General features: G+C 43.1%; 1 protein-coding gene across 6 annotated transcripts in view; it reads right to left on the bottom strand.

Annotated features, from left to right (window-relative positions):
- ERG (ETS transcription factor ERG) overlaps positions 1–22,228 on the bottom strand; it is a 294,523-nt gene extending 272,295 nt beyond the window's left edge. For 4 of the 6 annotated variants that reach the window (NM_001243432.2, NM_004449.4, NM_001136154.1 and 1 more), the window contains exon 1: positions 22,103–22,225. The gene's annotated coding sequence lies outside the window, so the exon portion shown is untranslated. Of the gene's footprint in view, positions 1–20,966; positions 21,113–22,102 lie in introns of those variants that run through there. The other 2 variants (NR_111949.2, NM_001243428.1) reach the window with 2 other exon arrangements.

A 25,586-nucleotide genomic window follows, 5' to 3' on the forward strand; every position in this document is an offset into this window, starting at 1 on the left:
TCCCACAACTGAAGAGGCCCACTGAGTACCCCACATAATAAAAGGAAGAAGACCCTAAACAAGGCACATCTCTGTGACATTTCAGGACACTGAGATGAAAGAGAAAAACCTAAAACATTCAGAGAAGAGAAATGGGAACCAGGATGGCATCCCAAGCTTCTTGATAACAACAATAAGAGCTGGTAGTCTATGAAGCATCACTTTCACTTTCCAAATCGTGAGGGAAATGTTTCTTAAAGGGAATCAAAGGCCCAGCCAAGCCATCAATGTGAAGAACTACACCAACCATGAGGCTGACAGGATAACCTGGAGACAGGGGACCCAGCATGAAAACCAACAGAATCCTAGGGTGCCAGAGGGCAGAGATGCCAGGACAGCCACGCCTGGAAACAGCCGGTTCCATCTGTGAGCACAGGGCTCCTTAAAGCACCCTCCCCCACAACAAAACAATAAAAACCCTGAGAGATGACCAAATTCATTCTAACACACTGAAAAGAGGAACTGGTTCTGCCAAGGAGTTTAAGGGAGTCTTATTGTAAGTACTTAGAAAAACCAAGGCAATAAAAAAATCATTGAAAATCAATGAAAAATCAATTGAAAATCATTGAAAATCAATGAAAAATCAATTGAAAATCAATGAAAAGTTATTGTTTTTGAAAAAATCGAACATTACAGCACACTATATGACTCAGTTCTAAGTAACATTTACATAGTTATAATAATGTTACAAATGCATATCAACTTAACCAACATTATGATTTACCTACATTGGAAGGATGGAGAAACAGGAGATGGGGGAAGGGGGCATGAGCTAAATTCTCATCTACCTTAGGAGAAAATTGATAATGTCTGATATGGTTTGCCTGTGTCTCCACCCAAATCTCATCTTAAATTGTAGCTCCCGTAACTTCAACGTGTTGTGGGAGGGAGCCGGTGGGAGATGATTGAGTCATGGGGTGGTGTCTCCCACACTGTTCTTGTGGCAGTGAATAAGTCTCACAAGATCTGATGGTTTTATGAGGGGAAACCCCTTTCACTTGGCTCTGATCTGTCTTGCCTGCCGCCATGTAAGATGTGCCTTTCACCTTCTGCCATGATTGTGAGGCCTCCCCAGCCACGTGGAACTGTGAGTCCACTAAGCCTCTTTTTCTTTATAAACTACCCAGTCTCAGGTACATCTTTATCAGCGGTGTGAAAATGGACTAATACAAAGTCCAAATGAAAAGCTCATGAAAACGCAGTGATGTATCAACAAGGAGGTAAATGACAGAAGAAACAGCTAAGAGGACAGCAGTTACCTCTAGGAAAGGGGGCTCTCTGGGAAAATGGAAGGCAGAGAACTGCTATTTTTCATTATAAGCGCAGAAATACTATTTGACTTTTACAACTATGTATTAGCATGAGAAATATAACAACTAGAATAGAACAGTGATAAAACATGTAGAAAATTTCACAGTGAATAAACTAACGCATACATAGATAGGCAACCGTTTTCTGAGAGTCAGTTGTGAACCCAGAAAAGGCATAAAATCCAGTTCTTCAGAGCCATCCCATGCTCATTGCATGTACCACCAGTTTGCTTCCTCCCAAAATTCACATGTTGAAATCCTAACCCTCAAGGTAATGGCATTAGGAGCTGGGGGGCCTTTGGGAGGTGATTAGGTGTTGAGGATGGACCCTTCATGAATGGGATCAATGCCCTTATAAAAGGGACCAGAGAGAGCTCCCTTCACCCCTTCTACCATTTGAGGACACAGCAAGAAGATGCCATCTATGAACCAGAAAATGGGCCCTCAACAGACAACAAACCTGCCAGTGCCTTGACATTGAACTTCCCAGCCTCCAGAACTATGTGAAATAAAGTCTTGTTTATGACCATCCAGTGTACAGTATTTTGTTATAGCAGCCTGAATGAACCAAGACACTCATCATCAGGGCTGTTGCATCTGCCCCTTCCCACCACAGTCTCACTAAAGCAACCGGAAAGAGGCACCAAATACGTCCCCCTTTGTTATGTTAGTAACACAGTCATGTTATAATACAAAATAAACTAAGCAATGTCAAACAGATCAACATAATTATTTAGTATGACATAAACCTCTTCCAAATGCACATGCAAATTTTTTCATTATTTACCTTTTAAAAGCCTTAAAGCTTAAAGTGAAAATTAGTGTGAAAAAAAAAACAAATTTCTGAAAGGTAATTTGTCAGTCTATATCAAAAGATTAAAGATACATATCTTTCATCACACAATTCCACTTTCAAGAGCGTATCTCAGTCTGATAAACTACAGCATGGTTTGAAACAGTAATTTTCATCTTGGAGGCATGTGAGAATACTGATTCCTGGGCCCCACCCCAAGACAGCCTGATTCAATTGGCCTGGGATAGGACCTGGGCATCTGCATTCTGCACTCAAGATTGGGAATTCCTGGTTTATAATATAGAAAACTAGAAACAGCCTGAATACTCAACAGAAGAGGACTAGGTAGATAAATTTATAATGACAGAGACATACGATGGAATACTAGACAGTTTAAAAGTAATGTGGCATTAAAAATATCATTAAGCATACCTATGAACATGGGCAGATACTTCTAATGTGCTGGTAAGTGAACAAAACAGGTGCCAGCACATATATATAAAAGTGTATATATAATATGATCCCCTTTGGGGAAAAACATGTGTATAAGAGAGAAATTCCACTATCTGGAATGAAATGCATTACTTTTCAATAGCCATTATGTCTGAGTGCAGAAAGATTTAATTTAAATACTTTTGTTCATCTGTATGCTCACGGTAAACAAAGTATTATTGACACCATCTTCTAAAGTTCAAAAATGCTGTTATATATCACTTGTAAGTTTTAAACATTTTAGTACTGTTCATATAGATTTCACCTCACACCCCACCCTAAATCCATATACACAGACCCACTCAAACTCTCACCTGCAGATTCTCAGAGCACACTACATCCTGCCAAGTCTCCAGCGTGAAGAACAACTTTTGCATAGGTTTCATCTTTCCTTTGTATTAATAGGTAACAAAGTCTGGCTGCCTCAAACTCAGAACATCCTTGCAACACTGTTACACCCACTGATCTTCCAAGTTCACCTTCACAAATGTGCAAGGGATGAGGGGGACAAAGACCAAGTCACCAGCACCACTCCTGATCCCCCAGATTCCAGCCCAGGTAAACCATTCAGCATCATTGGTCAAAGGTATTGGGTCACTGAAGGAGGAGAGGGGTAGAAACAAGGCATTGATTCAAATACTTCCAAAATATGTATGTGTTTTCCCAAGCAGCTGTTACTCCCCAGCTTGAGGAAAGTGCTGAGTTACAGATGATGGAGTATGAAACACTGAGAGAGGGCACACCCTGTGCCTTCGCAGCAAGAATGGCAGAGCTACAGTGGCTTTGGTGTTTTACTTCACCCACTTTTATGCCTACTCTTTTCTTAGCGCCCCCTTCCCTTACTCATTGCATCAAAGTGATCCACTGAAAAGAATTAAGTCAACTGCAGAGTTCCAGATAGCTATCCTCAGGAGTTTTAAAACTTAAGATGAAAGCAGTCAGGGAATTAAGACTAAATCCCGAATATGTAAGAAAAGGGCTTTCCCACGTGGCACAATACACGTACTGTCTGCTTCACAGGTCCAGCCTGGTAGCAATCAGGCAGGATACCAGAGCACGCAGGAAATCCAAAATTAGGTTTTACTACCTATAATGGAAGATTTACGGGATGGTTTAATTGGTAGTCTCAGGACTAAAACCTGAAGCAGGGGAACAAAAACGTCTATCTGGACACAGCCAGTGAGCCCACGTGCACCCCATGACACTCGCTCATAGGACACACAGGCCCGAGGCTGCAGGGGACAGAGTAAGGTCACAACTCCTCCTTCTCCCAACCTTGATGCACACCAAAGCCAACAACATGCTATTTCCTGTTCCTTTTATTTAAGAGGCAAATTTGTTTCTTGTGGTAGAATGGGTCTTCAAGCTACACACACAAACTCAGGTGTTCCGCAAAACAAAAGAACTCATTCAATTCAGTCCTCCCCTGTATTTCCAAACCACAGGGGCAACACTCACAAGCTGCAAAGAGGATTCCGCCCCACCGGGAATGCATCGGTCTGCACCTGTCTGTTGCCATTTTCAGGGTTAGCAGGGCCACTGGAAAATTTCCTCAGTACCATTTTGGGTCAATGTAAAGGATAATTGAAGTGCATGTTTCTGTAAATTCCACGTGCTCAGAGAGATTTCAAGTAAACACAGGAAAATAAGAACTGTGGGCTTGAGCCATATGTTGGCTGGCCACGTGGGGCAGGAAGAACACACACTGTCCAGGCAGTGAGTAACTGAAAACCAAGTGCCCACAGACACCATCCACTGCCAGAACTTGGGAAGCTGGGGTCCCAAGGGACAGTCCCCTCTGCTCACCCTCTCCCCTCCTTTCTTTCTCACCCTCTCAACAAACTTTAGTGGAGTTGGCTTTTTTTCCTAGAGGCCTTCATAGCCACTTTTTCCCCTCTCCAGGTGGTAGCCTGGGACCTACTGTGCAGAAGGACACACAGGTCTGAATTGAGGTCAAGCCAGGAAGAGGAAGAAGTGCAGAGCAGGGCAGCCACTGGCTTCTGAAATCCAATGGAAGAGGCGGCACCATTTAGTAGCATGACATTCTGTCTGCAAACCACCATGATGATATTGTTACTAAGTAGAAGAATCCCTTTTAAAAGAACTTTCGATATATTATAACATACTATAACAAGATGGGAAGACATTTTCCTTTTAATAAATTGATTTTCTTAAAGGAGATTTCAACTTTCCAGTGATGGACACTTTTCCTGGCTTCCACTTGTTTTCTGAAGGTTTCCATTTGGGTGTGATTTCTTAGCAAACAAGAGCCTTCCCAAACATTGCCTGCAGACATCTTGGTCTGTAGAAACACCTTATAAGGAGATCAACGTATAACACAGTCTTTTTCTACCTAGAGAATTAGCAAAGGGTGAAATTTGGTATGACAGGGGTCTTCCCTGGATTCCTTTCAATGTAGTCCAAGGAAGAACTAACTTAGGCTGAATTCTATTAAGACAAGGTTATCACAATATTTACAAGATTATTTATCAGGATTATATCAATTAAATATTTTGGGGGAAAAAATTGCCATACAAAAATCATATTAAAATTGAGCCAAGCAGTGAAACAACTCTGAAATGGCCTAGAAATAACATGTATTTGATATTCACTTTTTCTGAATACAGATGTGATCTTCATGCCATCATTGACCCCAGGTGGTAAGGATCATTAATGTTTCTAGAATCCTACACTGGGCAGCTGATGCCTGTAATCCTAGCATTTTGAGGGGCCAAGGAGGGAGCATCTCTTGAGCCCAGGAGTTAGAGAGCAGCCTGGGCAACACAGCGAGACCCCATCTCTACAAAAATATTTTAAAACTTAGCCGGGCATGGCAGCATGCACTTGTAGTCCCAGCTACTTGGGAGGCTGATGTGGGAGGATCATTTGAGTGTGGGAGATGGAGGCTGCAGTGAGCTGTGGTCACACCACTACACTCCAGCCTCAGTGACAGAATGAGACTCTGTCTCAGAAAAAAATAAACGATTTTAAAAATTTTAAACCCTTAAAAATAAGTAAATAATAAATTCCTACACTGTTGTACAGTTAACGGCCCCAATTACTAAGCTCAAAGGGAATTACCCAGAAAAGGCAAGAAAAACCTAAGTGTGAACTATGGCTATAGAGAAACAAATATATGGCTTGTAATATAAATAGGTTTCATATACATAAGAGTGTAGGCATACATTGCAATGTATCATCTCATCTGACCCTGCTACCAAATAAACCACAATGTGATTTTGCTACTGTGGAATCCACTGTGAAACGAGTCATATTTCAAAGAGGTATTTTTAGTGATTTTTAAGGGCAAGAATTCACAGACTTCAGATCTGGGTTCCACGTGACCATGACAAGCACTTGGTCAGTTCTGCGGCTTGGGCTCCAAATTCAATGTGTGGATCACCACTGACTCAAACTAACTCTATCTGTAAGATGATTCAAAAGAGACAATTTGGAAAAACAGAAGGGAGGAAAGACTTGAGAAAGAGTGAGCTTTTACAACTAAACAGTATTTGCTTGAATTTAAACACCACTTAAAACATAGACAACAAAGACAAAAAGCATCAGTGAAAATGTATGTCCCTTTTACATTCCAAATACAGGCCCAGAAAGCAATAAGCAAAAGGCACAGCTGGGCTCTGTATAGCCGACTTGTTGATGTTTAATGCAGGTACCACTCTGATCTCAGCCCCCAGATAGAAGCATATACTCTAGTGATGGCCCAGGAAGACGTCGACCAGCACAAAGCATCACCACACTTCCCACATTCTGAGTTGGATGCAACCATTCTCTTAGAAACCTAGTCTTGACTGGGTGTGGTGGCTCACGCCTGTAATCCCAACACTCTGAGAGGCCAAGGAGGGCGGATCACTTGAGGTCAGGAGTTCGAGACCAGCCTAGCCAACAGGACGAAACCCTGTCTCTACTAAAAATATTAAAAAATCAGCTGGGTATGGTGAAATGCACCTGTAATCCCACCTACTTGGGAGACTGCGGCACAAGAATTGCTTGAACCCGGAAGATGGAGGCTGCAGTGAGCAAAGATGGCACCACTGCACTCCAGCCTGGGTGACAGAGGGAGTCTCTGTCTAAAAAAAAAAAAAAAAAAGCAAAACAAACAAAAACAAAACAGTCGCTTCTGCACTCATGGTAACATCCTTTACCATTTAATCTCTCCTAGAAGACAGGGCATTGCCATACCATTACTCACTTGAAGATGAGAAGTGGAGGATTTGTTAGGACTGCAGGTGATGAGGAGAGACTCAAACAGAATGTTAGATTCTGACCGATCTGCTCTGGTTTCACACACTTCTTTCCCTTCCTAAGAATCTGCTTTTCCCTTCATGTACTTTTTCCTGTTTTCAGTATCACTGGGTCATTTCTAGTAACTCTGCTTAAGTGATCCTGTCAGCTACAGGGCGTGGGTGGGTTATTCAGCTCTGCCTCACAGAACACTCACCCTCCATCTCTGAGTCAGTTGCCTTTTAATGGAAATACTATTCGCTGATCATGTTCATACCGGCCCAGTTTTGTTTCTCTTGACAATGGCCCAGGTGTTTTTCTCTTCTGATTGAGTTTTGGGGTAAGCTCAGCATCTTTGTTGTTGTTGTTTGTTTTATTACATTTCCATTTTTACTGGAGGGGAAAGATCAGAGTCAATGTGATCCAGCTGCTGCACGTCAGTCCCGCCACATGACCTGCACTGTTACATCCAAAGCGTGCAGGGAAAAGGCTGCGTGCTCAGGTCCAGAAGTTCATAAAGGCAGCCTCTCCCATCAGCTCACCGGTGGCTGCCAGCCTCCATGCCGCCTTGCTCTCTCTAGGCTACTGGTTTTTGCAACCTTCTGCTTTTGTCCACTCATAACTTTGATAAGTACCGTGTCACCTTCTCATACGTGGAAAACATGTGGTCAGCGATTCGGCATGTTTAATGGTGCTTGAACAATACAAAGGGGAGCTGTCATCCATCTTTTGTTTTCTCATTATCAGTTTTCAGGCCACGTTCTAAACAAGGACGACAACCAACAGAACATCATTCCCTGGTGTCCCAGTCCTTGCTTACTTTGAATCTCCTCACCACCTTCAGTCCTTTCTAAGGTCACGTACGGGCATCCACCGTCTTTTTTCCTAAACAGAATACTTTGCAAAGTCAAGTATTGGCATTTCGTATTTAAGCCATGCATCCTCAAGGAGGCTAAAATTAGTTCTTGAAGGATGAAAAACGTCTTATTCCTTTTCTGTATAAAGCACAGATATACCTAAATGTAGACATACGTATATGTATAATGCAAAGTACTAAAACAGTATATCTGTGGTATTAAATTTTCATGTGAGGAGGGACAATTAGGAAAAAAAATCAGAAAATGCTTTTTAGGAGGTTGATCATGAAAACAGGAGGTTGGTCATGAAAAAAAAGGTTGAAAAACACTAATTTAAGCCTAAATGTAACTACATTACAAAATGTCACTACTTCTTGCTGGTTTTGGCACCAGTGCCTCAGGTGACACAGAAATACTAAGTTTTCTTTTATTCTGATATGCTTAAGGTATCCCCAAAATGATTTCTCTAAGTTGGGAATTGAAAGGGTTATGTTACACTCATTCACTCTTTAACAAGTCACATACACGTCACCTCCTATTTTAGAAGCCAATGGGTATTAAAGCACAAGAAATAAAACCACTGAAAAAGCAAAAAATAAAAAGGAAAGAAATAAAGACTCGGCACTCTGACACAGATGAAGCAGATGATTATGTTTATTTAAAACAGCAACTTATTTTTTAATGTCTATGAACTAAAGATTTCTCAGGACATCTTATTTCATGTTAAGTGTCCAATGCAGCAATCTTTGCCTTGCAAAGCCCATTACAAATAGGCTTGTGCATTCCAGAAAGGAAGCATGCATTTAACTTTCCCAAATATGTAATATGCAATTCTTTTTTTTAAATTTTTTACTTGCTTGGAGCAAAGACTGAAAGCAAGTATTTAATCTCGCTTCCTTTGCCAGTGCAAACGTAACTAATTCTGATCCTCATTTCCATTTCTTCCTTAATCTTTTTAAATCAGGGTTGGGCCAGCATTTATTCCCAACCTTTTGGAGAAGTAGCCTGTATTTCAAATGGGGCCGCGATGCTACCGCATGTTGTCCTGACCAGTGCCGTCCTGATCCTTGCTGGAGAAAGAAATGGAGGCATTTTACTCACAATCACAGAGCTTACGTATGCCAGCATTACAGAATGCAAAAAATAACTTTGCAACAATCTGAAAGGGTAATTTATGGAGCGTGGACAGTAAATGGGGTATGTTTTCTGTCCTGAAAATCCCAGATGAGGGCAGGCTTATGAATAATTTTCAAAAATCAGGAAGTCTGTGGAAATCCCTACTGTCTTATAAAGATTGCACCGTGCTCATCGCATCTCCCACGGCCTCTGCCTCCTCCTCCACCTCCTCCGAGGTTCCTTGGTCCTGACTCCTAATGGCAAGGGCCAAAGAACACAGGCACCTGCCTCCAGCAAATCCACTCCGATTCCCCCTCATTCCCAGACACAAATTTCCATGAAAACCAGACAGAGGACAGAAAGCAGGGGCAGGATATTCCAAAAGCACTTCAGATCTGCAGCCTGATTTCATTGGACTCGCTGGCTTGTTTCTTTTAGTCCCTGGGTGTGTTGACTGCAGGAGAAACCTCACTAACGACGACACTTCAGAACTGTGAGTCCAAACACTTAAGGAAGGACGTGCCCAGGAGGAAGGTCTAGAAGCTCAGAGACAGTGAGGAAGGGGCATTGCTCAGCGATGCTTAGATGCCTTCATGAGCTGACTCTACTGGGAGTCACTTGTCATGCCCCTGAATCCACCCACACATCTCTATAACATATGAAAACTGTTCAGCCCAAAGGAAAAAATAAACTCGATGGTTCTCATTAATCCAAGTTTAACTAAACACAACAGTTTCCAAGAGTACATTTCAGCCATTTCGCACCCGCAGATACCCAACCTGAGAAGCTGATGGGAAACGGCTGTTTTGGCATCACCGAGGGCTGCGGCAGGCAGCACCCAGGGGGCTTCTGTCTCCCCTGTGGCGCTGCAGCTGAGAGCCACACCCATGAGCTGATGACGTAGCGTTTCTCTCAAAGGTCTCCCTTGATGATGTGGCAAACTGCAAGGACCAAGCACAGAGGCACCTGGACACCAACCCTTCCCTGCGAGCCACATGGCCAGTCAAACGTTCTGGTTACCGGGGATGACACGCTTTTTCCGACAAGATTTTAAGCACTTGTGGCTTACATCAATGTGGTCTCGTATTCATTGTGTGTTTAGACCACTTGCCTCGCACGTTCTCATATTTACACATGTTCACTGAACGTAACCTCAAGTGAATTATTTAAGAAGCCTTAATGTGCTTCAGACTGCTCAAATATAATTTAGACTTTAAATTAAATTTGTACTCTGATACGAAACTGCAATGCTTGAATGCAGCTTACGGCATCAAGTGGACATGCAGGAGGCCTTGGAATAGAATTTCAGTTACCCCTAAAGGGCTCACACCTAGTGGCCCACGTTCCTTATAGGACGAAACAAGATTCAACTACAAAATCCAACTCATTGCCTACGTTTGAAAGCTGGGGAGCCTGCAGTACACAAGATAAAGTCTTGCTTCTCCATTTGTCCTTACGTGACCCTACAATGAAGCATCGCTACACACCAGAGACGTATAATGCTAGACGCGAGAACACACAGTCATGCTCCTTGGTCAGAGGTTTTGGGTATGGTTGGGTGTTTTAATAAACCACAATATTCCTTCTCCTTCACTGTTTGGTTACCAATAATTGTGCTGCCTTAGGTGTAAAATTCAATATGGTGATTAGAGTCTAGAGAAGCCACACTTATTTTATTTAGCAGTTTTTGTTTTATTTTTACAGTAAGCACTGCCCACTGGGAAAAATAAACCAAAATAAAAAGAGTGAAATTCCCTTATTATGCACTAGCGATAATGAAAACAAACTTATCTACAAAGAACCACAGACGAGAAATTTGCCTAGAGACCAGCTACTGGAACTAAAAACAAATTTCTTATTCAGGAAAATGTGAATGAGTAAGAATCTGCTAGTGAAGTTTCTTACTTTGCACAAAAAATTAAATGAAATCTTAACTTTAAGAGTAGCATAGGCTGGGCACGGTGGCTCAGCCTGTAATCCCAACACTTTGGGAGGCTGAGGCAGGAGGACTGCCTGAACTCATGAGTTCCAGACCAGCCTGGGCAACATGGCGAAACCCTGTCTCTACTAACAATACAAAAAATTAGCCGGGTATGGTGGTGTGCACCTGTAGTCCCTGCTACTCAGGAGGCTGAAGCACAAGAATCGCTTGAACCCAGGAGGCGGACGTTGCAGTGAGCCAAGATCGCACCACTGCACTCCAGCCTGCGCAACAGAGCAAGACTCTGTCTCAAGAAATAAAAATTAAAAAAAAAAGAGTGGCATAGTTAAAAGGGTAGAAGGTTACTCAATGACGCATCACGTATAGTACACATATAGCACACTGATAATAACAAATGGCATGTAAGCACTGTGGATTGACTTCAGAAGACTTTTCCATAAGCTTCAGTATCACAAACGAAGGGAAAAGCCTGTGTTATGTGCAACCTGTCATGATCAAATAGTGTGAATATGTCCTTGTAAAGGTTAATTCTATAGCAATACATTTAGTTGATGTGCTTTCTTCCTCTGGGATTCTAGCACTTTAAGAATGCCGTTCTTCAAAATAATCAATTGTATTATTCTCAAGAAACATGCAAAATAAGAAATTTGTCATCAAGCTGGAATTATCTTTAAATAGAGGATATTCAAATAGCATTTTTATGCCTGGAGTTGTCGCAGCATGATTCCGGCAAAAGCCGCACTATTTGTTAGCTGGCACACAGAGTTTTGGCCTGAAATTCAGTATTTTATTTTACCCTTTAAAAGCATGAAGTGACTCAACAGGAAATTATACATACATTTTTCCCTCCAATGTAAAAACTGCAGATCTAGTACCGAACATGTCACGCTGGCATTCAATTTTCTATTGCTATCATATCTGGTTCCTTAGTGACATAAGGTCACAAAACTTCTACTCCTGTGGCCAAGAGACATAATAGATGTTGCGGTTGCTCATTATATTAAATTTGAATTCCTAAGCTAAACATTCTAGACCTGCACTATTCGGCATGGTGGCCACTAGCCACATGTGACTATGGAGCCCTTGAAATGTGACCAGCCCAGATGGAGACGTGCTGTAAATATACACTACACAATGGATTTTGAAGATTTCATATAGAAAAAAAATAAAGTCAAATATCTCATCCATATTTTACACTGATTACATTTGAAATGGTAGTATTTTCAGCATGTGTTACATAAATTACATTATTAAAATTAATTCCACCTGTCCCTGTCTTTTTTAATTTGGCTACTGGAAGATTTAAAACTACCCTTGAAGTTCATGTTCTATTTCCTTTGCCCAGCACTGCCAGGACCTTACACGGACTCTGCCTCCACGTCACTCGCTCCCTTCCGGTCACTTCCATAACAGGCCCGCCACTCTGACCAAGATAACTACACACAGCAGAGTCCCATGGGTGGATCTCAGCATCCGCCTGCCTGGTTCTGATGCTGCCCTGGTTCCCACTACTGTGTGACTCCAGGCAAGGTGCTCAGCACTCCTGAGCCTCACTGCTATTCTGGAAAATGAGGACAATTAGAGCACCTCCTGCAAAGAGCCACAGTGAAGACAGTCCTGGCAAAGTGTCTCCTGTGGCTATACCATCTGGTGAGTGAATGTCACCTGCCACCTTCCACAACATCACACCTCTCCCTTCCCTTATGTAAGACTGCTTTCTTCCCTACCTCTTAACTTTACACCTGAGATATTGAAGTAGGTGTCTGGTCTGATCCCTCCAACACTCCAGAGGATTTGGTCAGTTTCCACACTGTGTGACCCACTCCCAGGTAACACTTCCACCCTCCAAACACACCAGCAGGCCTGACTCCTCCACCCTCCCGCCCACTGCTATCTCTACCATTCCCGCCAATCCAGATCCAACACGCCATGGCACAGCTCAAGGGCCTCAGCCTCCGGGTAGCATGCTCTGATCCTCTGATCTTCCTATGGAATGGTGTAGATTGCTTTTGGATTGCATGATTCTATTTTATGTTATTTATACTCTACCTTGTTCCCAAAAAGGGACTCAAAGTGGTCTACAAGGATATATGCAATATGACAAGGTTGTTTAAAATTCAGAAGCAAAATAAAAAATAAAGATGAAGCTAAAGAGAAACAAGGGTAAGAACATAAACTCGAGCTAGGAATGCAATGGCCCGCCAGGCAGGCCTCAGGGTCTCACATATCTGCTGGAGTTGGGTCATTCACACGTCTCCAAATAATGAAATCCAACCAAATGCTCAGACAATGACTCCTGATGCTAAGGCTAAAAATGAAATCCTCCAATGATTCCATAAGAAAGAAGGACCTGTGTGATAGCAAGCATGCCCAAGAACGGCCCTACAGCAAACCCAGTGTATTGCACGAGGCTGTCTCCCTGCTCGGGAACATCTCCTCCATTGCCATACAGTCTAGAGCCCTGTTCACTGCCATGCTGGCCCAGTTCAACCAGGTGGTCCCACTGAGGATGCCACTCTTGTTGGTGTGTGAACTCATCTCCTTCGAGATTTCATGATGTGCACATTCACCCCCGTTCTAGATTTCATGACACAAGCATTCACCCCTTTTCTAGATTCTATGGCAAGTATGTTCACCCACTTTCCAGATTGCACGGCATTCGCATTCACCGCCTAGATTCTAGATTCCACGGCATGCACATTCGCCCACTTTCTAGATTCCACGATGTGAATGTTCCCCTCCTTTCTAGACTCTGTGGTGTGAATGTCTGCCCCAATTCCATGGCATTCTTGCTCACCTCCCTTTCTAGATTCCATAGCATGCGGATTCATCCTCTTTCTGGATTTTGCCTCCCTGAAGGCACTGTGCAAGTCTTCTGCATAGTGTCTTGCATGAAGTCTTACACAGAACATAAGGCAAAAACATGGACTAAATGGACAGCTTGCCTTCCACCACACAGTCTGTAGCTTCTAGCCTCCCTTCCTTTGCACGTGCCTTTCCCAGGATCCGGAGCACCCCCTCTGTGGATGGAGTCCTGTATCTTCTCACCTTGAGTCAAATCTGACTGCCCGCTGATCTCTGCCTACTCAGCATTCCCTGAATTCTCAGGCATTCCACTTGTCCTGTATTAATTTCCACCTGTAGGTATTTATCCTAAGGACACCGCATTTAGAGTGTCCTTGCAAGAGGGGATGCTCCTCTCTTCAGCTAAACTTAGCTATTTAAAGTAAAAAGGGTGGTAGTTTTGTTTACCTGTTAACACAACTCATGGAAGAGAGAAAAATTCAAGCATGCCACTAATTGCTGCAGTCAGACAGACAGGTGGATAGGCGGGCTCCATAGCGGAATGTTCTGGCTTCTCCCACTAAATTTGCAGTTGTTCGTCTAATCTCTAGACGTGTCCCGTGTCTTAACAGTCCCTGTATGACTTATGCTCCCACCTCTTGTTTGGGACAGTGCTCTCATTTAATAGATGCTCAATATATTTTAATTAAGAAATGTATTTTCACGTTGCTTAAGACCCATAAAGAACAATTAATACAATGTAATGCTTAATTTTGCAAAGAAAAAGTTTATATTGATGCTAAATGCATTTACAAATGTGCTCGTAATGTACAAACAAATACAGCCCTTACTGTGGGTTACACATACTTATGAAATGATTTTATTGACTTACCTTTGGTTTTACAATTTGGCTATGGGGTACTTAGAAGAAACTGCCCTTGTGGGACATTCTGTCTAATCACTTATATTTACAAGCCTTAGAAAACTGTAAAAATATATTCAGTTTCATTAAGAGATATTCGATCTTCAGAACTGATACTATTTCATCTATAAAATCCTTTTACTGGCTGGGCGCAGTGGCTCACGCCTGTAATCCCAGCACTTTGGAAGGACGAGGCGGGCAGATCACCTGAGGTCAGGAGTTTGAGACCAGCCTGGCCAATGTGGCGAAATCCTGTCTCTACTACAAAAATTACCCAGGCCTGTTGGCAGGTGCCTGTAATCCCAGCTACTCGGGAGGCTGAGGCAGGAGAATCATTTGCACCCAGGCGGTGGAGGCTGCAGTGAGCCAAGAATGTGCCATTGCACTCCAGCCTGGGCAACAGAGCAAGGCTCCATCTCTAAATAAATAAATACATAAATAAAATCCTTTTACTTTGATACCTCAAGTAGTAATCAATAATATCCCTCTCTGTTCTAATGGCAGGGCCTTTAGGTAAGGTTTCAGAATTTGGGATAAATACTAATAATATGCTGATCTAACATCTCTTCTCCAGAAGACTCCCTAGATTTGATTTTTACTGTCATTATTTCTATTTTAAAACTCTGTAGTGAAGTAAGTTTTACTGTCGGGGTCAAATAGACTAGAAAGTACTTTTCAATACTGAAGAAGCAAATTTTTCCTCCACTTTTGCTTATTCTGTCCTCTTGCTGCTGTATCTTGAACTGCAGAAAAAGCAAGCCTTGCACAAGGCAAGTTTAAACTTTGTGCAATTATAGACCCAGATTTGTAAATCTGGCAGCAGGCTCACATCAGCTTTGTGAGGTTGGGTATAATTTTAATGAGAATCCATTCAACATATGAAATCTTAGAATGTTTCTCAATTAGCACTTGGTTTCTTTTCAAAATGTTTTTACCTCATTTCCTAATAAAAGAAATCTCAGCTTTCTGATACATTTAATTAAAAAGTTTTATGTTGAGATTGTAAATGTGAGTGGTTTCTGTTTCAAAACATTTCATTTTGCTAGTACATCCTTCACTTATTATTTATACTCTGCTTAGATCTCTGCATTTCCCATGCAAAAATCCTGAAATGCACCTTCTTCAGTGCTGAGGTCTAAAGTTTCCCCTTCCTAAGTAGTGCCACAGTCACCCCCTCTTCCTCCCACAGGGCCCTCATAATAGCTTCTTTCAGTCCTTCCTCTGAACCCTGAGACCCCCGTTCACTCTCATGTCAAGCAGAATTCCAAGCCTTCATTGCACACAGAGGTGGGTCCAGGGAGGTATCCCGTGTTTCTGAAATTCCTGCTTTGCCTGTGCCTAAGCTTCCCAATTCTCCCAAGAGTCCTCATTTTAAGAACACAATGCAATGCTAGCATTGCACTAGCATTCAGCATCTCCCACCATACATTGCAAATGGATAATTAGCTTGATTGCTAGGAGATTCACCTGCTATCCCCTCTTCTCACCCTTTAGCAATGTGTGTGGAACGCACTTGGCTCCGAACAAATTAATTGTGTGTGAGGGGTGACATCTGACTACGAACAACTAAAAAGAACCATTTAATCAGGCCAAATTCCCTTCAGGCTTATTGAGGCTTGAGTGTGGATTTTTAAAATGTAAGCAGCACTGTCACTGTAACCATGAAACTGTCATGGTTTTAAGAAGTGAAGTTTTGGGGGACAACAACATGACCAACAGACTCTACCTCAGCATCCAGTTCCCAGATTAGTTAATACAAACTTGGGCCCCACTTTTCAACAGAAGCACAGCTCTAAGTAAAGGCTGGTACCCAGCTCTGCCCCCTCAAATTATTTGGTGAACAGGCCAAATGGGAGGAATTGCAGGTAGTACTGCAGAATCTGCCTGCCTTGGAAAACAGGCTTTCCATGAAATACAGTTTTAAGGTCCCCAGAGGCCAGGGCTCTCTCCCTCCCCTACTCTTCACCGCGCCCCCCGCCAACCCACACGTGATGAGAAACCACTGCCCCTGCAGAGGCCCCAGCAGCAGGCAAGGGTCTGTGGAAGAAAGAGAGGAATATTACAAAGGGGTTTCTGGCTGGAGGGGGGTTCCAGGGAGGGCAGAGAGGTTCAGGCTCCAAAGCTGGCAGCAGCCCCTACAGATGGAAAGCTCCAGTGACAGGACCCATGAAAGGACACTGCAGAGCTTGTCCCATGTCATTGGGCCATCGAGACATCAAGGGCTGCCTGGATTTCAGGAACTCACATCTGTAGACCAAGAAGGAACAGCACGTTCCCATTGCCAATTTCAATCAATTTATTAAACTAAGGCAATAGGTAAGTAACAGATTTACTAAGATATTGGGATTCTCTTACTGTCCATCTTAGTTCAGATGGAGATTCACAACACCAGCTAATCTGATTCCAGGATGCAGCTTCTGACGGTGCACAAGCTAATATTTCCTTAAGATAGTCACACAAACCTCCCTGCCAGGCGTGCAGAAAAATGTGCACGCTCCAATTTAGTCTTTCTTTTACTTTCCAACTTTAAGTACTTTAGTGAGCCCCAAGAATGCATAGCCACTCTTTCCACCCAGTTAGAGAGAAAATTAATCTTTCTACCAATAACAGAGAATCACTTAATGGAAATAGGACGATAGTACTTCACTAAATAAGGCTTCGCTCCTTTGCTCCCCTACTCTCAAAACTGAGGTTCAAATGCATTTCTACACTTTCAAATGAACATGTGGGAACTTTTGCTGAATGCTGACATCAAGTGAAAATAAGGGTTTCCTATTTTTTAAAAGTCATTCTATATATGCCTGTTTTCTTTCCTATTTCCTAGAGAGACAGCTTTTCCCCCCCGAGTATGTTTTGCAGGGGTAATAATTACTGCAATAATGTTATCCTTAAAAGGGAGCACATATAAGACAAAAGCAGGTACAAAAATCTCATTCCCACTAAAACAATTCAAAATCATAGGTTAGGCTTTAAAAGGAAGCAACTACAAATCTAGGTTTTAAAAACCTTTAGACACACTAAAGATTTGTCCCAGATCACATCTGATGTCTATTTCTCTGGGATAATAACAAAAAAAAAGAGGTGATAAATTAATTCAAATGGCCTATTTTACATACTTGAAGGATATTTCCATTGTCTCATATAGCCATTCTGAATAGGACAGAGTCACATAATGAAACTTCCTTTGCACATTCTCCTGAACACGCACTGAGTCAAGATAGCCAAACCCCTTACTTTCATTGTAAAATTACTGTTTCTCATACGCAATCAGGGTCTCCCAGATTATGACATGCGACCCTAAAAATAGGAGAACTTAAAAGTTAGTTTAAATCTAAAACTTAGATCCAGCGCTCCATTTTTAGATGCACCCTTTAATTTCTTGGTTTTGTCTACATTTTACTTATACTTAAATTTAGCAAAGTAATTTTAGCTCACCCTCCTTCACTACCTTCACTAGACTTTGCAATGTTACAAACATGAAGCATTCAAGCCTCTTTCTAATATGAAAATGTTTTAAATAAAAGATAAAGTTAAAAGGGAAAGATGCCCCTTTTAACTTTAACTTTTAACTTTTTTAGCTATGTTGAAGAACTGGTTTGGGTGACAGCCCAGCCATTGGAAAAGCCATTGGAAAACTCCCGCTGTTGTTTATTTACAAAATAACTGCTTTCAATCAATCATTGTGAGAGGTCCGTACACTGACAATGCATAATGGACAACTAATTAACTGACCCCTAATAAGAGTGTGGGAAATACCAGGGAGAATGCTATCATGCAAGGAACAGCAACAATATGGAGGGGTGGCTGGTCACTGCCAAGCATGAGCATCCCCAAATACCGCAGTGATTTTCAGAGTTTTCAAAAAGCCCTACTCACACCACTGCCACTAAGTACCATAATCATCGGAAACTGTGCCCCAAAGATCTGAACGTCCCTGTTACATCAGCCTATTTTTCTTACAAATGTTGCTGCTAAGGTTCAAATTCAAGGTGTAGAACATTAAACAATAGCTGTATTGTGAAGGACCATGCTCCCTGGGAAAGCCCAAGTAACCTTACACACTGGGGAAGGAAAAAAGAACTCCTTTGCCATACTCCTGCTCTCTGGAAAACTGCTCAGACGCAAGGGGTAAAGAAGCAAAGAGGTGACAAAAAGAGACCTGCATTCAGAGAGATCAGCTGTCAACTTAAACTGAGAAGTGACCTGATGCCTCACAGAGCTGGGATTTTGCCACCTTGACCAAACTGCTTCCCAGGCTCCATAAGTCTCATTAGAAACGTAGGTGGCTCTGTGTCGACACCTTCTCAATGGAGTTCTATGAAATAACAGGCATCAGACATTTATTCACTATGACAATGTCTTCCCACCACTCCAGATCCTATGACCGGGACTGACTTGCTATCGGTTTTTGCCTGGGAATAGGAAACGATTCCAGAAACATTAGCTCTTCTGTTTTGAGAAGAAATAAATTCCCCCTTTTATTTCTTTTTTGTTTAAAGATAGCAAGATAAAAATAAAAACTAATATTACTTTTAGAAAAAAAAAGTGTTGAAAGTTTCCTATTACCCTACTTACAATGTGAGATGCATTTAAAAGATACATAACGTATAACATTGTAGAATAGTATGTGAGTTACACATTCCTTCTGACGTCTTTCAGAGATGCTTTCCTTCTTACTTATGTATCTGGTATTCCATTGGGATCTTAGGTCTTACCACAAATAAAATATCTGATTTTATAAGATTAAAAACTCAACAAGGTTTTTCTTTAATATAAAAGCAAAACGTGGAACGTGGAGGGGGGAATGTTTATATACAGGTGTGAATGCAGCCCCTCACACAATCCCTTCAATGGTAAATGCTAATTTTCTAAATTTTAGCTAAAGATTAAATCACCAATAATTCCTCATGAAATAACAGATAAACGTGAAATCATGTACTACAATTCTACTCTAAATTTTTTTAAATAGAATGAAGTAATTATAAAATGTTACAAAAGAGAAGAAACTGGAATTATAAGTGCTACTGGAATTATATATTCCTTAACAAATATCTTGAGACGGATTACCCATTTGCTAATTCAGTGTACTTTCCAAAAGCCATTGACCCAAACCGAAGCTAGGATTACCAAATGGCAAATAGCATTTGTGATGTGTGTAGCTCTTCTAAAGCCTTTCTTGAGAATTGTAAAACTTGATATATTAGCCACAAGTTTACATAGCTCACCGTTTCTGCTAGAATTATAATTTCAATGGTGTAATTAGCTTATTAATAATTTGACACATGGTGAATTAATTTACATGGTTGGGTTCTTCGCAACGTCTGTTGCCTGATCCTCCTGTGGATGAAGGCTATGAGCTCTGGCCTGCCCCGGGAGCGGGCACCAGCCAATGCCAGCGGAGCAAGGGTTAACTTTGGGACTGTGACAGTTCTCCCTTCAGGGGCTCTAAACTACTTGGAGAGAATGGAAAACAGTCAAAAATAGTCCCAAAGGTAAATAAACTCTGTGTCCTATGTATGTCACCCAGGGAAGAATAAAATGTATTTTTACTCACATTGAAAGTTTTCTGAACTACAAAAGCTATAGAGACATGTACAGAGTGAAACCTGTAGCACATACGAATATGTTATTTTGAAAGATAAAGGAAACTATCTTTAGATTAACGATGAGTTGTATTAAATCCACATCCTCATTGAAATTGTTTATCCATTTTATTGCGCAGTGTAGTCTGCTATTAATAACAGAATTTGTCCTGTACTTAAAAGATAATTAATGCCTCTATGCATCTATGCAACATACCATAGCAATAAACGGACGATGTATTTCAGACAGAAACCAGGTAAGGCTAGCTGATAAAATACAGACTATATTTTTTTTAACATGCCAAGTTTTGCAATTAGGGTGGTAAACTGGAGGCAAATAAACTTAACAGCTGCAGGCTGAAGAATGGAAAGGTGAAAAGACTGAGACTGAGAGTGGGAAAGGAAAGGGACCGCTCCTGGCGCTGAGAGCTGGTCCCAGAGCCGGTGTTGCGGGGTGTGCGGGAAGGCGCCGTCGGGGGTCATTCCACCATCAGGACCCAGCGGACAGTGACAACCCAGCCTCAAACCTGGTCCCTACTTTAGGCCAAGCGTCAGCTTTTTTAGTTCAACCCTGATTTCCACTCCAGACAAGGACAAATAACCTCTTGGTCGGGGCCCCAGATGAAGTCCCCGCGGTGTGCTCTCCTGGCCCTTGTCAATTTCGGGGTGCCCCCTCCTCTCCATCCGCACCCGACTGCACGCGCCTCCCTGGGACCCCGCACTGGCGAGCCGTCCCTCCCGGCGCTGGACGCCCCACCTGTCCCGGCGCCGTCGGAAGAGCCCTGCAGAGTGAGCCCCTAGGGCCACCCCGCTGCCTTCCTCCCCGTCCCCGCAGCCGCTGTAGCCAGCGTGGGAGCCGGGCAGGTCGCGTGGGGCGCTGGACTTACCGAGAGGTTAGCGCCGCCGTCGGGGGAGGGCGTGTCCCGCACGTGTGTGTCCGCGCGTGTCCGCGCCCGCGTGTGCCAGCGCGCGTGCCTTGGCCGTGCGCGCCGAGCCGGGTCGCACTAACTCCCTCGGCGCCGACGGGCTCAGCCCATGGTGTGGGCGCCGGGTTCAGGGAGGCTCCGGCTCCCGCCAATCGCGGAGCAGGGCGGCCGCCCCGACGCGCGACTTGCGAACCCGGAGTGCGCGCCGGGGGCGGGGCAGGGACGCGTGGGCGGGAATGCACGCGCGTGGCCAGGTGCGCGTGGGTGCGAGCGCGCGGGAGTCTTCGAGTGCGCGCGTGTCCGTGTGCGCGTGGGTGTGGGTGTGCTCGCGTGTCCGTGCGCGCGCCCTCGGGGCCAAGAGCGCGGGCCGCGCGGGCAGGTTTGGACACTACGCGCCCTGCTCGGGTTTAGGACGCGGCTGGCGGCTCCGGGAGGAAGAGGAGGAGGAAGAGGAGGAGGCGGAGGAGGAGGAAGAGGAGGAGGGAGGCGGAGGAGCAGAGGCTGGGACGGCCGGAGGAGAGAGTCCGGCCCCAGCAGGAAAGGAACCCAGCACGCGACTACTGGAGGGGCGAGGAGCAAGGGAAGGACCAGAGGGGAGGAGAGGGGGTCAGGGGAGGGAAAGTGTGGGAGGGGGAGCCGCGGGGGTGCGCGCTCCTCCTAACTCGGGGTCGCTTTTAGCGAGAAGTGATATTTTTCCAGCCTCATTGAAAACCGTTGCAAACATTGAAAATAGTAAAAGTGAAAACGGTTGCGACACTAAGACGTTTATAAAATGACCGCGGACTGCCCTCGATGCTGATGAGAACTGGGACGACGTCGCGCAGAGCGTCCGGAGGGAGAGGCGCGGTGCCCGGGACCTCGGTCGTGGGGAGGAGCCGGATACAGCCGCCGGGACGCGGGGATGCCGAGGGCACCGCGGCCTGGTCTGACCGACGCACGCGGTGACAGCCGCCCTTGGGAGACGACGGCGTCTGCAACCAGCAGCCTCCAAAGGGTGCAGCCAGGAGGCTCAGCTTGTCCGCCTCCGGGGCTCGGGGCTAAGCCCCTTCCAGAAGTTTTCGTTTCTACGCGAATTCCGACCGCAAAATCCAGCTTACCTGAGCGCCGCTCCTCTTCTCTCATGTCCCTCGGGGGCCGTCACGACCGTCCCGGAGCGATCTCTAGGAACCTGTCCCGCAGCGATCTCTTGCACACTCTCCCCATTCCGACCAAGTGAAAACTACCCATGTCCCTCCCTCTCCAAACTTTAACAGCCAAGAATTTCAGCAAACAGCCAGAAAGAAAGCTAAGTCTCCCCCCGCCCCCCACCCCAAGGGAAGGGAGGGAATAAGCACTCCTTTAATTTGAAAAATAATAATTAAAACTCCCTCAACTTTTAAGGCCGAGCAACATAATCTATTAATTGGTCGCTATTAACATGCAGTTTTATTGACCATAGCACACAGAAGTCTGATTGTGAGGGAGGAGTGTTTTCAATGAAAGTGGAGTTATTTTAGCTGCAGACGTGTTTACATTTCTGTGGTTTAGTCTATAACTTTCTCTTTTTCTTGCTTCAGAATTCTGCTCCATGAAGCAAAGCCCTTAGCTCCCAGACATTCCAAAAAGTCTGCCAAAATAATAGAAAAAAAGAGAGGGAAGAAAAAACACACGGAGACCCCCAAGTCTGGGTCAGGCTCAGGGTTGGATGTGGGCAGGGTGAGTGTGCCCCCTCCCCGCGCACTTTCCAGTTAGGAAAAAAAAAAAAAGTTTCAGGGCTCCATTTCCTGTTTGCTGGGGGAAAAAAATAAAATGGACCTGAGCAGCTGAGTTTAGAAACCGCCTTTTCCAGTACCTATAGGTTCTGAGAGGATCTTTAACCCTAGAGATGCCAAAATGAGCTCATTAAAATGTGAGACTCCAGCCAAGGAAGTTTTTCCCCTGTTAAGATGGACAGCCTTCGTGAAACTACAAATGCATTCCTAGGAAATTTCTTGAACAATCAGGCACACCATGGTAGTTGGGATACAAGCCCACCTCTCCATAGGTGGCCAAGAGAAGATACCAATAAAAATAAATATTGAAAACAGATTAAATTTCTGACAAGCATGCACCCTTTTTGTCCCCTGAGGTACAAAGAACAGAATGTATATTTCAAAGTGGGTATTTAGTAATAGGGTCTTGTCAGTTTATCCACTCTGTGCTCGAATCGTCATTTGCAAAGTCGATTGCATTTCCTTTAGTATTGAATGTGCTCACAAATCACACAGAAGTCCCCATACTCCAGTTCACATGGCCTTCAAAAAGATTCGATCTGAATCTCCTTAACTACCAAATGCATATTTTGGTTCCTTTTCTTTCTAATTATTCTCCAAATATTCCAGATCCAAGATATTTCACTGGATTTTGAAATCTTCCAATTAGCCACTAATTTTCAAGTCTCACCATAGTGAACCCTTAACATTTAGGGGAATGCTTTAAAGTAAACAGGTTCTGAACCTATTCAATAAAATCAGTAGCCCACAGGCCAATGACTCTTTTTTAATACTCTAAAAGTTTTTTAATACGCTGCCAACGTTTCTCAATCATCATCAGTATATGGTGAATATTATCACAATATAGAACAGTGCTAAAAACAATATGCGTGCTGATGAACAAAATAACATTTAACGTTTTAAGAATAATGAACTGCACTTTAATAGTAGAAGGAACATGATTTCAAAATGAGCTCAGTAAAAACCCAATATTTGAAACAATGTTGTTTGTGACTCTCCCTCACTACCATCTCCAGTTCCCCCAAAAGACACTGCAGAAGGAGAGAGAGAGAGAGAGAGAAAGATAATTTCTTAAAACATGAAAGACGCATACCGATCCCATTCATAAAATGTGGGTCATTAACCTTGAAGAATCTCAGTATCCCAAATCCTAGAATTTTGCATATGACATCATCTCCTCCAACTGATTGCATCTTGTAGTTATAGTTAGGATGTTCTTTCTGCTGTCTAATCTAATCCCTACCTATGGCCGCAGCATTCCCTTCAGTCTGACCCATGATTTAGGTCAAATAGGAGGAAATCAGTTTCAATGAATTAAATCATTTCAGTTAACTTGAGAGGCCGAAAGAAAACTAAGAGACAACTTCACGTTCTGTATTGCAGGACAAACATCATAATTCTAATTAAAATGTCATTTAAAAGGAAAGTTTTTATAAAAACACCACTTGACACATTCCATAAGAATTAGTATTTTAAAGTATTTCATACATGAGATGGTCTTCTTTTTATATAAAGTTTTGTGGTCGACCTAATTCATTTTAAAATCCCTTTTATCCAAAAGATGTTTTGGATTAATTTAAGTATTTGTTACTGGATAATGTCAAGCTCCTTTTCAATGAAATGTCCTGTGTTGGGTTGTCACACCTGTTAAATATAAGCCTCCTTTTCTTTTGATATTCTGAGAAGGGCTTTAAAAGGTTTTCATCCCTCAATATGGAGATTTAATTGCTTTACCTATAATAAAAATAATCCCTATAAAATTCAGATTGTGGATATTTCAAAGCTGAAAGAACTATTGGATTGGGATGTAAAGGTTGCAGTTCAAAAAGTCTTCCACTTTTAATATAACATGCATGGTGTTATGAGTTATAAAATCCTGGTTATCATTTTGAAAGGTCTGGTTTTTGTTGTCCTTGCACGGAGCGTCTTTGAGCTTACTTTATGGCTTAGCAGTCTGCGTGTGCGTGTGTTAAATATGGAAAGGGCAGCGTATCCCTCTACAGTAAATGCTCACAAGGGAGGAAGTCTCAGATTCTGTTTTAAACGGGGTACTGGAGTGAGGTTCCTCACACTGACCCATTCACATCTTTGGTGAGCTCAAATCTGGCTTGAAGCCATTCTGAGGATGGCCGTGGTTTGAGAAAGCAGATAGCTCTCAGGCTTCAGCCACTGCCAGGCACCTGAGCCCTACCCCCACAATCTCCACCCAATCACCTGGGACCTTCTTTTCATCATGCAAATGGGTCGGGCAGCTCGGAAGCTCAGGAGTCATTGGAGGCCCCTGTCCTGTCCCATTCCTAGTTCTGCTTTCCCTCATGGCAAATGATTAGAACACACTCACTCAAGCAACCAAGACATGGAAGCAATGGGAATACATGTCAGAACACAACAGTTGGGGGTTCCAAGTGGAGCATCCCTGGGTCCCTCTCTCCCTCACCACCCTCACTCATTCCCTGATTTCCATCACTGACTATTAGCGAACAGGAGGACAGATGTGTGTCTTCTCTTAGGGGAGTCTCTTAACCTAGTACACAAGCATCACTATTATCTTTTATTACTTGCTGTTAAGAAGTCAGTTTTAGGTGTTCTTTATCCTTCCAGACAAACTAATTTCATGCAACACTCTCACCCTCTGAAGCACTTTTTTAATCTACGTCAGATGCAGTTTAAGTCTTTAGTACACACAGCAGTTCTCAATAACACGTGGTGACCACAAACTGCTCCGTAAAATTGCATAATGCTTAATTCCTATCAACTTGCATAACACACAAAATAAGTTGATATGAAACACATTGTACATCTGTCAATGAGCTTTGGTGACAAAGGTTAT

Source organism: Homo sapiens, chromosome 21, assembly GCF_000001405.40.
Source record: "Homo sapiens chromosome 21, GRCh38.p14 Primary Assembly".
Taxonomy (NCBI): Eukaryota; Metazoa; Chordata; class Mammalia; order Primates; family Hominidae; genus Homo; species Homo sapiens.